At 47.0% G+C, this 15,462-nt stretch overlaps 1 annotated feature.

The window, feature by feature from the left end:
* Window positions 5,431-5,725: a silencer, noted in NCBI's record as "tiled region #9220; HepG2 Repressive non-DNase unmatched - State 22:ReprW". NCBI's record gives its function as "represses a minimal TATA promoter and a strong SV40 promoter by Sharpr-MPRA in HepG2 cells {active_cell/tissue: HepG2}" and the evidence as "EXISTENCE:reporter gene assay evidence [ECO:0000049][PMID:27701403]".

Genomic DNA, 15,462 nt, shown 5'->3' with positions numbered 1-15,462 from the left:
AGAACAGCTGTGGATAGCTGGGGGTGGGTGGGTCAGGAATGGCCCCTCTGAGAACGTGGCATGGAGTTGAGATCTGAATGGCACACAAGAGCCAATTCTAAAAGATCTGAGAGAACAGCTTTCCAGGTAGAAGGCACAGAGCAAAGGACCTGCACTGATGATGAATTGGTGAGTCCAGGAACAGTGAGGTCAGTGTATAGACACTTAGGACTCATGGCCTGGTCTACGGACCAGCAGCATTGACATCTCTTAGGGGAGTGGTTACACAGGCAAATGTCCTGGTCCCATCTTTTTTTTTTTCTTTCTTTCTTTTTTTTGAGACGGAGTCTTGCTCTGTTGCCCAGGCTGGAATGCAGTGGCGTGATCTTGGCTTACAGCAACCTCTGCCTTCTGGGTTCAAGCAATTCTCCTGCCTCAACCTCCCAAACAGCTGGGATTACAGACATCTGCCACCACGATTGGCTAATTTTTATATTTTTAGTAGAGACAGTGTTTCACCATGTTGGCCAGGCTGGTCTCGAACTCCTGACCTCAGGTGATCCTCCCGCCTTGGCCTCCCAAAGTGTTGGGATTACAGGCATGAGCCACCACTCCCAGCCGTCCTGGTCCCAACTTACACCCATTAAATCAGAACCTCCGGAGACAGAGTCCAGGAGGATGCTTTTTGTGCAATGATCACACTTTTTTTTTTTTTCAAATATCACACAGAAAAGTTGAAAGTACAGTACAAAAAACTTCCGTTTTCTTGAAGCATTGGAGAGCAAAGTGCTGACTGGATGCCCCATTACTGTCTAATACTTCAGTGAATATTTTCTATAAATAAGGGCCTTCTCTTACACAATCACAATGCAAGCATCAAAATCAGGAGATTAACAATGACACATGGATGAATCTAATCCTCAGGGCCCATTCCACTTTCTCCAGTTATTCCTATAATGTGTTTTATAGCAGCAAGATCCACTACAGAATCATGTTGCATTTAGTTCTCATGTCCCATTAGTCTCTTTTCATCTGAAGAAGTTCCTCAGTTTTTCCTTGACTCTAAAGACCTTGACACGTCTGCAGATTACAGGACAGTTATTTTGGGTCTGTCTGACGCTTCCTCATGATTAGATCCCGTTTATGGATCATTGGCAGAAATAGCTCAGAAATGACGCTGAATTCTTCCCCTGACGTCCTATCCAGGGACACGTGATTTTAATTTGCCCCATTACTGGAGATGCTCACGCTGATCACTTAATTAAGTTGCTGTCTGCCAGACTTCTTCACTATAAAGTTACTCTTTTCTTCTTTGTAATTAATACGTGTTTTGCAGAGGCACTTTGAAATTACATGATTATCATATTTCTCACTACATTTTCAGTTTATTTGCTTATTTATTTCTGTCTTCATGGGCCCATGGTTTCCAATCCTATTCAATGGGTCATAGTCCACCACTATCATTGTCTAATTTGGTACTTGAATTGTCTCATGGTCCACCAATGGGAGCTCCTTCAAGCTGCCCTTTGTGCCCCGTGACATGTACCCACCATTCTTGGAGCACTTCCTTGCTTTTTGGCACAATAAGACCTTCCACCTTCCTCGTGTAGTTTCCCAGTCTTGGAATCCGCCATTTCTCCAAGAAACCCTTTTTCTTGTTAGTGGAAAATGCCATTTAGATCTAGGTGCTGGACATGTTCATTGCTATGGGACCGTTGTTGCATCCAGGCTTTCTCAGAGCAGAGCTAAGAAACATGTGTAGTAGACATACACACATGGCATTTATGCCTATTTCTATATCTATCTCTAAACATTAAAAAACATGAGTTTACCTCAATACATCCAATTCAAATTCAACATCACAAGGTTCATTCCAGTCTTCTTCTCCCTTTTGATGTTCATAACTCCCTTCCTTAATAATAACAATTCTGGTGTGTTAGTTTCCTAGGGCTATTGTAAAATAAAACAGTGCCACAAACTGGGTAGCTTAAATAACAGAAATCAAATTTATTGCCTCATAGTTCTGGATGGAGGCAAGGTGTCCAAGATCAGGCTATTGGCAGGGTTGGTCCCTTCTCTTGACATGAGAGAGAATCTACTCCATGCCTCTTCCCTAGCTTCTGGTGACTGCTGGCAATTTTTGCCATTTCTTGGCTTATAGACACATCATTGCAATCTCTGTCTTCATTTTCACCTGGACACTTCACTGTGTGTGTGTCTCTGTGTCCAACTTTGCCCTTTTAATAAGGATATCAGTCATATCGGATTAGAGGTCCACTCCACTGTGGTATAACCTCACCTTAACTATTAATAATTGCATCTTCAGGCTGGGTGCGGTGGCTCATTTCAGAGCTATTTCTGCCAATGATCCATAAACAGGATCTAATCATGAGGAAGGGCCTGTAATCCTAGCACTTTGGGACGCCAAGGTGGGTGGATCACGAGGTCAAGAGATTGAGACCATCCTGGCCAATATGGTGAAACCCCCGTCTCTACTAAAAATACAAAAAATTAGCTGGGAGTGGTGGTGCACACCTGTAGTCCCAGCTACTCGGGAAGCTGAGGCAGGAGAATTGCGTGAACCTGGGAGGCAGAGGTTACGATGAGCTGAGATCGCGCCACTGCACTCTAGCCTGGCAACAGAGTGAGACTCCCTCTCAAAAAAAAAAAAAAAAAAAAAAGCATCTTCAATGACCCTATTTCCAAGTAAGCTCACATTTTGAGGTACTGGGGTTTAGAATTTTAACATGTAAATTTTCAGAAGGATGCAATTCCACCCACAACACCTGGCTTCTGTTACCCTTAGTGTTTACTTAACAATCCTCCTCAGTGTGATCGAACTTCCATCTCACTGCCTCCTTCTTCCCCACACAGGACTCTCTTTTCCTGCTTGGGCTCTGACCCTGTGTGGATGCTGCTGTTTCCCTACCTGAGCTCTGACACCCCCACCAGTCACTCATCTGCAGGGATGACCATCTCTCTCACTTGGGCTTGGGCTCCCCAAACAGGGCTGCCCCCATCACGGGGCTCAGGATCTGACATGCATCAGGCCACTCACCCCTCGTAGGAATGTCCTCAGCCAGTCTGGTGCTGTCACCTCTGCCAGGATGCCTCTGCAGTGGCACCCTCCTCCCCCTGCGTAGGTGCTGATATTCCACACCGTCTTCCTCCCACCACATAGATGACCTCCTCACCCTGTTGATGCCCTGACACCCTTTGCTGGGGAGCCTCCCAGTACCATCACTGTCCTGGCCTCAGCTCTGGGCCATGATGGCTGCCCTCCCTTCACTGCAGAGGCTTCTCTTCCCGTGCTACACCTAACGGCTTTAGGACTGAATGTCAGGAAGGAAGGGCATAGGAGAAGGCAAAGGAGGGGGAAGGTGAGGAGCAGGAAGAATAGGAATTCGTGCTTCAACAAACTCTCTGGATAATTCTTATGCAGGCTAAAGCACACAACTTGGTGGCCAGTAGGCGGTGGGAGATAGCACAGGCTGGGGCTGGAGACTGGGCAGGGGCCAGATCTTGGAGGGTCTTGTGGGCCTTAGTAAGGAGGCTCTTATTTTATTTATTTTCTTTTTTTTATTATGATACTTTACGTTCTAGGGTACATGTGCACAACGTGCAGGTTTGTTACATATGTATACATGTGCCATGTTGGTGTGCTGCACCCACTAACTTGTCATTTACATTAGAAATATCTCCTAATGCTATCCCTCCCCCCTCCCCCCTCCCCCCACCCCACAACAGGCCCCGGTGTGTGATGTTCCCCACCCTGTGTCCAAGTGTTCTCATTGTTCAATTCCCACCTTTATTTTATTTATTGTTTAAAGAGAACTGACAAAAACAAGCTTATCTGGGGGAAGAAATGCCACTGTGAACAATATGAATTAGCTTCAAGTCTCTCCTCCCAAAAACAGGAGTCGTCTGTTACCAAGCGAATCACCACCCCTCCCCTCCACTGTCCTTCCCTTCAGCGTCTAGCATGCCTAAGCCTCTCCATTCTAACACCACGGAAGCACTTTCTGATCAGTCTGCTGCTTGCAGCTCTGACTCTCTCTCCCTGTCTTTCCTTTCCCAGCCATGTCTCTTGCAAGCGTTTCTAGATTCTTCATTGTCCTGTCCTAAAATCCTATTCACACCTCGACCCCCATGCAGTGTGGCTTCCACTCAGTTTTGTTTTTATTTTATGTGCCTTGAGAATAAGGGCTTTAAGAAGATGAACATGACTTATGTTTTGAAAAGATCCTTCTGGCTACTTTGCAGGGAATGGATTTGAAAAGCCAAGAGAGGAAGCAGGTTGCTCAGTAAGAGGCTGCTGCATCACCAGCTGAGAGAGGATGTTGGTATGGACAGAGTGGCAACATGGGACCTGGAGAAAAGAAGGCAGACTGGGGATATATTTGGAAGGGCTGGCAGGGCCTTCTGGGGTCGATGGAGGGATAAAGGAAGGAGAGCAGTCACGGATGACATGGGGGGGGTCTTGGCCTGAAGAGTTGGGTGGACGGCAGTGGCAGGAGAGGACTCAAAGAGGAACAAATTTGGGGAAGCAGGTTTCTGGGAACCCTGTTTGGGTCATACTTTGAGACCCTTATCTACATGATGATATCAAGTAGGCAGGTTAGATATATCGAATTGGGGTTTAGAGAAGGGGTCAGGGCTGAAGATCCAAATCCACACGTTGAATTCAAAGTCATCAGCAACTGCCTCCTGGAGGAGCCTCTACAAGTGTTAGCTTTGAAAAATGACTTCACTGTGACGTGGTAAGGGAGGCTGGGAACAAGGTCACGGGAGTCATGGACACACCGGCTTCATGGCGTCCATCAGGGAGGGGTTGTCAGCCAGCTGCAAGTCACCACCCCCTCCTCTCCATGGTTCTTCCCTTCAGCATTTAGCATGCCTAAGTCTCTCCATTCTAATGCCACGGAAGAACTTTCTGATCAGTCTGCCTTCTGCAGGCAGCTGGAGGTGGACAGCTGCAGGTCACCACTTCCCAACACTGACCTGACACTGACTTGCAGAATGGAAGAAGAGCCGACATCCTCGCATGTATTTGTTTCCAGGACAGCCGCTCAAAGGTGGGACCACTGCCAGGCCTATCAGTTCAACCCCTAAATTGAAGAAGGAAGTTTTCTCCAGCTTGATGGTAAGTTCAAGACCTGACTCGGAGCCCCAGGCAGTTCCCGTCACTCTCTAATTCAGAGATTCTGCCATACTATGCCATTAGTGGCCACCTCCATAAGCACAGGGCACTTCAGAGTTTACATATCATGCTGACATCCATGACCCCATCTAATCTTCACACCAGCTCTTGGAGGGTTGGAGAGATTTTTTTTAAGACTTATTTTACAGATGAGGAAACTAAGGCTCAGAGGTTAAGCCATTTGTCCAAGATCACACATTCGGAACATAGTCGAGTCAGGACTTCAAACCAGGACTGTCTGCTTCTAAAATCTTAACAAACCCTCTGCCTCTATTACAGTTCATGGCCTACTACCTTGGTCGCTGCTAAGATGTGAGAGCTCCTTGCTGGCAACGCTTCCTCAAGAAGCCAGCCAGGTGCTACTTTCTCCCCAGCCTTGGGTCTTCCCCTTGCTGAGAGATCGCATTCTTTTGTAACTACCTGGCTCACCTGCGGCTTCATTGTCTCCTGTTTTTTTTTTTTGAGATGGAGTCTTGCTATGTCACCCAGGCTGGAGTGCAGCGGCGTGATCTCGGCTCACTGCAACCTCCGCCTCCCGGGTTCAAGCAATTCTCCTGCCTCAGCCTCCTGAGTAGCTGGGATTACAGGCACCTGCCACCACGCCCAGATAATTTTTGTATTTTTAGTAGAGACGGCGTTTTGCCATCTTGGCCAAGCTAGTCTCGAACTCCTGACCTCATGATCCACCTGCCTCGGCCTCCCAAAGTGCTGGGAATATAGGTGTGAGCCACCGTGCCTGGTCCCTGGTCTGTCTTTAACCACTCTCTGCTAGTAAGAGCCGGATCCCTCATTCCACAACTTTGGCTAGTTACTCACAATTCCTTCAGTCTCACCTCCCCAGGGCTTCCTGAGCACTCCAATATGTCCACCTGACCTCTTTCAGGGAGGTCTCCCTGATTTCTCTGGCCTCCTGCCCTTCTCCAGGGGTCTTCAGACTGCAGTAGCTCTGATCTCCTCTCCCTCATCTGTCGTGTGCCTATGGCACATGTTACTCTACCAAGCCATACAACATGGGATTATTCACACATGGTCCCATCCATAGCAACTCTTCTGACCACAGTTACCTCCATCTCAGTGTCTTCAAGGTCCAATTCAACATCCCTCCTTAATCCAGGGGAATAGATTCATCTTTCTCTGATTCAGCAGAAGCAAATCAATCAAATATGGACTATAAGTTGCAGACACTCATGGGACCTCAAAGGTCCCCTACTTCTACCTTCTATCTTATGCTATATTAAGCTTGCCCAACCTGAGGCCTGCAGTCCAGATGGCTTTGAATGTGACCCAACACACATTTGTTAAGTCTCTTAAAACATCATGAGATTTTTTTTTTTTTGAGACAGAGTCTCACACTGTTGCCCAGGCTGGAGTGCAGTGCTGTGATCTCAGCTCACTGCAACCTCCGCCTCCCGGGTTCAAGCGATTCTCCTGCCTCAGCCTCCCAAGTAGCTGGGATTACAGGCGCCCGCCACCATGCCCAGCTAATTTTTTGTATTTTTACAAAATACAGAGATGCCGTTTCATCATGTTGGCCAGGCTGGTCTCAAACTCCTGACCTCGTGATCCGCCCACCTTGGCCTCCCAAAGTGCTGAGATTACAGGCATGAGCCACTGCATCAGGCCCATTATGAGATTTTTTTTGTGATTTCTTTTTTGTGTGATTTTTTTTAGCTCATCAGCTATCGTCAGTGTTAATATACGACATGTGCAGCCCAAAATGATTCTTCTTACAGTGTGACCCAGGGAAGCCAAAAGACCAGACATCCCTCTGTTACACTTTCCACTCCAACATTCTCCCAAAGTCAAGCCTCTCCTGACACCTGGAGACTCGCTAACTCTTAAGGGAAAGTCATGCCTTCTCTGGACAGCTCTCTTACAAACTTTTTCCTTTCCCCCCACCTCAAAATGTGCCTACCAGCAACAGCCTCCTCTCCCTGCAGGCCACCCAGGATGGGGCCAGTCCTGCTCCAGGGTGGCATTCAGAGGTGGAAAGGCATGGTCCTGACCCCGAGCCTGCTCTTCTTCAGACAAAACAACTTTTCCACCCTGTATTTCAGCCCCCATCTGCTCCTCTATCCTGGCCCCTTTCCCAAAAGATGCCCCGGTTTCTTTCGTCCTAGCAACTCTTCTTACCTTCCACACCTCGATGCAAATTCAGACAAAATGCAGCAAGTATTTACTGAGCACTATCTCTTTGCCAGGCACTGGCCTTGGAGCTGAGGATGCAGCAGTAAATTTAACAGACAGAAGTCAAGGTGAAGCTCCCATCCTGGGGGCCAGCTGCATCTACCATCATTGGAGTCTGCAACCTAACTCGTGTTTTTGACAATCAGCCTCAAAATCATGGTTATACATAAGTGTCAGGCACTGTGCTCGGCACTGGAGGTGCAAAGGTAAACAGAATATTGTTCCTGCCTTGAAAGCCCATAGCCCCATTGGCTTAAACAACCTGATTAACATGCCTAGCTTGAATCTCTCAATCTCTCTCTCTGTCTCTCTCTGTCTTTTACACACACACACACACACACACACACACACACACGCGTATCAGTTGCAGGAAATCTACCAGCGTCCAGTCAAAGTAGGCAAATATGTGCAGATTCCAGGCATCAGTGCCAACCTGAGAAACTTGCCTTCATCTCCCGTCACCTCCCCACCCCCTCACTGCCCTTCCCCAGAAAATTCTGGGAGCCAGGTTCCTGGCAGCAGCCTCCAAGGGGGACGTAAGGACAGGCCTATTGAACTGCGTTGCTCTGGACTAGATAAATAGTTATCACCAGCCAACGTGGTTAAATAATCATCAAACCACGTAATTCAGAAATCATGCTCCTCGAGAGTTCCCCATTTAATACCCGACAGAACACGCTAATCCGCCGCACAAGACTGCGTTTTACTTTTCTAGACAGGAAGCATTTTCTTCAGTCCCATAATGACTTCCCTTGACATAATAATGAAGGAATGTGAATTTAAAACAGGCTGAGAGGCTGGGCCTTCTTTGTTATTAGGGTTGGGGGCTGGTGGCTCGGAAATTGCCTGAGTAACTGCTGACTTGCTGAACTGTGTCGTCATTGAATTCACTGCTTACAAAGACTGAAATTTACCAAATTAAATTTTAGTGAGTAATTTCTTTTCACATAAACGGCAGAAATTAAACCATTGTGGATGTGGTAGATAGGCCGTCACACGGAGCTGACATTACATTGGGGAGTGCTGTGAAGTCAGGCAGGAGGAGATCAAGACTTGGAGGGCAGGAAACCCCTCTTTGGACTGGGGGAGGGGCGATCCCAAGCCCCAGAATCAGGCAGGAGAGGTTCAAATCCTGGGTCTCCCACTCCCTATTGATGTGACCCAGGGGGTTCTTATCTGTGAAATGGGCATGATGAGGGGCTATCTTAGGGATGCAAAATGGATTACATCTATAAAAGCACTTGGCTATCAGTAAAGGTCTGCATACATGTCGGTGGTTATTATGTATGTAGCTTCTAGCCTGAGGACGTTGAACTGGGAGAAATCAGGAATAAGAAAGGAAGCTCCCTGGAGTACCCTACCTTTGGCAAAGAGGTAGGTAGCTAAAGTTAGCTACTTTCTTTCTTTCCTTTTTTTTTTTTTTTTTGAGACAGAGTCTTGCTTTGTCGCCCAGGCTAGAGTGCAGTGGTGCGATCTCAGCTCACTACAACCTCCGCCTCCTGGGTTCCAGCGATTCTCCTGCCTCAGCCTCCTGAGTAGCTGGGATTACAGGCACGTGTCACCACGCCAAGCTAATTTTTGTATTTTTAGTAGAGATGGGGTTTCACCACGTTGGTCAGGCTGCTCCCTAACCTCTTGATCCGCCCACCTCGGCCTCCCAAAGTGCGGGGATTACAGGGGTGAGCCACCGTGCCCGGCCAAAGTTGGCTACTTTCTAACCCATCACGTAGCACAGAGAGGACTCAGGGGGCCCAATGCACCTGTGGAAATCAACTTCATTGGACACAACCGAAAAGTCAATTTGTCCAGTGGATTGATGGTCAGTTGGATTGATTAACTACAGCCAGACCAGTTGCTGTGAGGCCAAAACAATAGATGAAAAACGGGATATTTGACATCTCTGTCCTTACTGGTGTTGAAAAAATAATGATAAGCAACAGTCCTTTCTTATGTATGTATGGAACAAGGAGGTGGTATTATTGTTTAAAAACGTTCCCTCCCTCTTCTCCACATACATGGGAGTTTTTTTGCTTACTCCTTGGCTTGGGGCTTGGCTATGTGACCTACTTTGGAAGATTAACATACATGACGCAAACAAGGACGTGAAATGTGCTTGTGCAGCTGGGCTCACCCGCTTGCACCTCTGCCATCGCCACGAGAAGAGCTTCTCACCAGCAGATGCTTCCCCTGTATCCCAGGCTCCAGGATAAACATACAAGGAACACACCAGAGCCCAATGTATGGCAAGGAACCCATTCTAACCAAACCCATAGCCTAAAGCAAAGCCACTCAGCCAGTCTAGCCTAGATCAGACAAGTCTTCACCAACCCCCAGATACGTGAAGTAAATACATGCTTATTGACTCTGGGATTTTTTTGTGGTTGTTTGTTATACAGCAAAGGTTGACTGACACAAAGTCTGTTCATATCCACTGGCTCATTCTATCTGCAGAAAACTTCCATAGTAGAGATAGGTTAAGTATTTTTGTTTCTCTTTTTTTAGATGAGGAAACAAGCTTAGAGAGAATAAATGACTTACTAATGGCATGAAGGTAATCAGAGATAGAACCTAGGCTTTTAGTGCTGAGTGTTCTTTTTTATTTTTTTCCCATGTACAGTGATGGCTTCTCTACCTGGGAGCTGGGAGCTGGGGAGATCCCTGGGTTCCCAAGAATAGAAAAATAAGCTTCTCCCAAGACTTCTTAATTTCACCAAAGACCAATTTGTCAGCAGGGCTGGAAGGGCTGAGGGACCTCCCAGGGACAGTTAATAATTGGCCTATGGCTCACACCACAGCATTTTCTATGATTTGGGTTGGTGTCAAAGTGTCACTGGGCAGAGATAGAAAGCACTTTGTCATGTATAAATGTTACAGACAATAATGCCAGCTACTAAATAGTATGTCATTCCTAATGATATTGTCAGCCTCTAATCAGTCTAATTTATATTGTCAACATGATGTAATAGTCCACCCGGCATGGGCCTTTAGAAATACGAGATCCAGCCATACGAGAAACCAAAGTGAATTTCCACCAGTTCTGACTCTGAAAATCAAATTAAGATTGCTGGCTCCCACTTCAGAGGATCAGAGAGAATGTGTATAAAATACCCAGCATAGGGCCTGATACCTAGTAGGCACGCCACGGGGCAGCTGGTGGTGTTCCGTGCTGTCATGCAGTTATTTGCATTAGCTAGTGATGGGAATCTTGCCCTTGGAGCCACAGAGAGGAGAGACGGGCCCCAGAAATGCCCTTGCCCCTCACTCTCCTTCCCAGCTCCCCTCTGTGGTCACTGTGTTTCTTGTTTTGTTTTGTTTTTTAAGGAAACTGCTGCATAGTTTACAAAGGTGCCTGCACATGTGGTATTTATGTCCCCCTGCAGCCCCAGAAGCTGTAGGAGATAAGACAGGAGGGCACCTACACGAAGAAGGATCACCTGAGGTCAGGAGTTCGAGACCAGCCTGACCAATATGGTGAAGCCCCGTCTCTAATAAAATACAAAAAGTAGCTGGCCGTGGTGGCAGGTGCCTGTAATCTCAGCTACTTGGGAGGCTGAAGCAGGAGAATCTCTTGAACCCAGGAGGTGGAGGTTGCAATAAGCTGAGATTGTGCCATTGCCCTCCAGCCTGGGCAACAAGAGCGGAAACTCTGTCTAAAAAAAAAGAGAGAGAGAAGGTGTTTAGTAAAGAAAAACTCATATATTCTCAGCACTCCATGTACAACAAAACAAAACAAAACAAAACAAAACCCTTCCTTTCCTACCTCAGTAAATGGCAGCGCCACTACCCAGAAATCTGGGCTTCATTCCTTACTCGTGTCCTCCTCTCACCCCCACATCTATCACTGTAAAATACTGCAAAGCCCTCTGTTTGTCTCTGTTCCCTGCTATTACCCTTGTGCAAGCCTCTGCTAGATCAACCTCCTCACAGAATTCCATGCTTTTGTTCAATTTAACCTCCACACCATGGCCAACATCATGGGTTTAGGTCAGATACTAAATCATGACACTCTTCTGCATAAAATTCTTGGCACTTGGTTGCCCTCCAAACTCCTGACTGTGGCCTATGTATGAGTCAGTGTTCATCCAGGAAAACAAAATCCATGCCAGATGGATATTAACAGGAAAACGCTAATACAGGGAGCAAGCTACCAAGGTGTGCAAGGAGCTGAAAGGGCGACAGGGAAGGCGAGATGGCCCAGAGAAGGGAGAGAGCCGCTCCACCCCAGAGCTGTGGACAAAGGAAGGAGCCGGTGTGACTGGAGCCCAGGAGCCAGGGTCACCTGGTGGGAGCAGAGCCTGTGGAAGGGGATGTCTGATAGAAAGTGGAGCCACAGACAAAGGGAATCAGCCATTTCTACAGATTCTGTCCAAGGCAGACAGCATGAACGCAATACCATGGCACTTCCTTTGCCTTACCTTTCCATCTCCTCAACCCAGCAATCCCGTGTCTACGCCATCTGTCCTAGAGAGCATTGTATTTGTGTACACAGGGAATGGTGTACAGTCATATTTTGTAAAACACTTTGAAATTCCACAAAGCTAGAGGTGAGTCTCGGTGTTCAGAAACAGGAAAATGGATACATAGGCTGTGGTCTATTTTTTTTTAATTTCAAAAATATTTAGATTCAGGGTGTACATGTGTAGGCTTGTTACATGGGTATATTGTGTGATGCTGAGGTTTGGGCTTCCAAGGATCCCATCACCCAAGTAACGAACATAGTGTCTGATAGTTTTTCAACCCTTGTCCTCCTCCCTACCTACCCCAGCATTTATTGTTCCCATCTTTGTGTCTGCGGGTACCAAATGTTTAGCTCCTACTAATAGTGAGAATGGGCAGTATTTGGCTCTCTGTTTCTGCATTAACTGGCTTAGGATAATGGCCTCCAGCTGCATCCACGTTGCTCCAAAGGACATGATTTTATTCTTTTTTATGGCTGTGTAGTATTCCATGGTGGATATGCACTACATTTTCAAAGTTTAACCCACTGTGGTTGGGCACCTGGATTGATTCCATGTCTTTGCTATTGTGAATAGCATTGCAATGAACATACGAGTGCACGTGTCTTTTTGGTAGAATGATTTATTTTCTTTTGGATATACACCCAGTCATGGGATTGCTGGGTCAAATGGTAGTTCTGTTTTAAGTTACTTGAGACATCTCCAAACTGCTTTCAACAGAGGCCGAACTAATTTACATCCCCACCAACTGTGGTCTAATCACACACCAGACTACGCTCTACAGGTAACATGAATGGTGTGTGTAAAAACCACAAACAAAGGAACACAGCTGAGCTGGTCCTGTGTGGGTTTATTGTCACATCTGTTCCCTGCCCTTGCTCCCTTCTTCCTGGCAGGGAAGGCTGCCAGGGAGGCCGAGCCTGGTCCACTGGGTTTCCCGGCTCCATTGCAACTGGTGTCCACCAAAGTTGGGCACAGGCAGGAGATTGGAAGGTGAGGGGAACAATCCTTGTCCTCCTCTCTCCCTTTAAACAGAGCCAAGCTGTTTAAACTTTCATCAGATACTGACAGATTGTCCTTCAAAAAGCCTGTACCCATGTATATACTCCCACCGCAAGTGAGGAGAGAAGTGGCCGTCTCTCCACGCCCTGACCAGCACTTTATGTTACAACATTTGAAAACTAATAGGTGGGTAGTGGACCCTTGTCATTGCTTTAGGGTGTATCTCTCTGCTTACTAAAGAGATTGAACAATGTGTCCTGTGCCATTGACCATTTGTAGTTCCCTGTGCTGCGGGTAGATTTCTTTTTCTTTTATTTCTGTTTCTTTTCTTTTTTTTTTTTTTTTGAGACGGAGTCTCGCTGTCGCCCAGGCTGGAGTGCAGTGGTGCAATCTTGGCTCACTTCAGGCTCCACCCGCCGGGGTTCACACCATTCTCCTGCCTCAGCCTCCCGAGTAGCTGGGACTACAGGCGCCCACCACCTCGCCCGGCTAATTTTTTGTATTTTTAGTAGAGACGGGGTTTCACCGTGTTAGCCAGGATGGTCTCGATCTCCTGATCTCGTGATCCACCCGCCTCGGCCCCTCAAAGTGCTGGGATTACAGCCGTGAGCCACAGCGCCCGGCCTGTTTCTTTTTTTTTTTAGACGGAGTCTTACTCTGTCACCCAGGCTGGAGTGCAGTGGCACGACCTCTGCTCACTGCAATCTCCGCCTCCCGGGTTCAAGCGATTCCTCTGCATCAGCCTCCCAAGTAGCTGGGATTACAGACGTGTGCCACCACGCCCAGCTAATTTTTTGTATTTTTAGTAGAAACGAGGTTTCACCATGTTGGCCAGGCTGGTCTCAAATTCCTGGCCTCAGGTGATCCACCCGCCTCGGCCTCCCAAAGTGCTTGGATTACAGGCATGAGTCACTGTGCCCAGCCTCAGGTTGTCTTTAGTTATGTAATTTTTATACATGTTAACTTTTTCTGTAGTCTCATGGCAATTACAATTATTATTATTATTTTTTGAGATGCTGTCTCACTCTGTTGCCCAGGCTGGAATGCAGTGATGCAATCTTGGCTCACTGAAGCTTCTGCCTCCTGGTAGAAATAAAGAAATAAAGGTAGAGAAAAAAGCGATTCTCCCTCCTCAGCCTCTCGAGTAGCTGGGATTACAGGCACCTGCCACCACACCTGGCTAATTTTTGTATTTTTAGTAGAGATGGGGTTTCACCATGTTGGCCAGGCTGGTCTCGAACTCCTAACCTCAGGTGATCCACCCACCTCAACCTCCCAAAGTGTTGGGATTACAGGCGTGAGCCACTGCGCCTGGTGAGATTGCCTTTTATAACCCCTGCCTAGTTCTCTTTTCCTTATTGATGTATGGGAGTTCTTTGCTTATTACAGATGTCAAAATTCTTTGTTGTTTATGTTACAAACATTGCTTAGAATGCCTTCTCTCTCCTTGATTTATTTTTTTTCCCCCTTGGAACTCATAGGTTCTGGCTCTACAAACTGACTGCTGTCTAGATATGGTACACAAGTCTGAAGTATTTTTTTCTCATTTGACCCCTGGATTTTTTATACCAGTTTGTTTATTCTATATCTTCCTCTTTCTTTCTTTCTCTTTCTTTCTTTATTTCTTTTTCTTTCTTTCTTTCTTTTTATTTTTTTGATGTTTTCCTCATTTTACCGACATATGTCTTGAAGTAACTTGTTTGGAGAGGGTGCCCAGGAGCTCCTGTTTCCAAGGCTTCGCATGCCCAAAGTGGTTTTATTCTCCCTCAGGCTTTGTTCTCATCTGGCCATGATGTGGTTCTTTATTTCTCTACCTTGTAAATGATAAGTTTAGCTTTCGTCTCTGCCTTCCCACTCGATTTTGAGACGTGGTCTTACTCGTCTCTGAATCTCTAGAGCTCAGGGACAAAAAGACTGGCAGAAAGAACAAGGGAGCTCTTGCTCCGAGGCCCCACAGTTTTCTTCTATTTCTGAGCATTTGCACCTCCCAGTGATGCTCTACCCGCTGCAGGAGCCCCACACAGGGAGAGCAGCTTCATTCCTCAGGGCTTGCTTTGCCCAGGGCGTCCCTGGACTCCACATCATGGATACCACCGGCTCCGTGGGTTCTCTGTCCATGGCGTCCGGGTGGTCCCGTTACTCTTCTTTCTGCCCCCTCCCTTCCACCCCGGGAAATACCTACACTTGGCCAGTCTAGAAGGAGCATCTGTGAGGGCAAAAGTTTGGAGCCCAGGGCTAGAAAGGAAGAGGAGGGGCCAGGCGCGGTGGCTCATGCCAATGATCCCAACACTTTGGGAGGCCGAGGCAGGTGGATCACAAGGTCAAGAGATCGAGACCATCCTTTCCAACATGGTGAAAACCCATCTCTACTAAAAATACAAAAATAAGCTGGGCATGGTGGCGCGCACCTGTAGCCCCAGCTACTCAGGAGGCTGAGGCAGGAAGATCACTTGAACCTGGGAGGTGGAGGTTACAGTGAGCTGAGATCATGCAACTGCACTCCAGCCAAAAATAAAATAAAATAAAATAAATAAAAATAGAAAAAAAAGGAAGAGGAGGAAGCCTAGCGAGGACCAGGAGGAAAAATATTGCTTCTCACAACCATAACTATAGGGCTCCTTCACCATATAGTTAAAG

The sequence above is a fragment of the Homo sapiens genome, chromosome 17, assembly GCF_000001405.40.
Source record: "Homo sapiens chromosome 17, GRCh38.p14 Primary Assembly".
Lineage (NCBI taxonomy): Eukaryota > Metazoa > Chordata > Mammalia > Primates > Hominidae > Homo > Homo sapiens.
The sequence above is the reverse complement of the archived record's forward strand: the minus strand, read 5'-3'. Positions and strand labels throughout refer to the sequence as shown.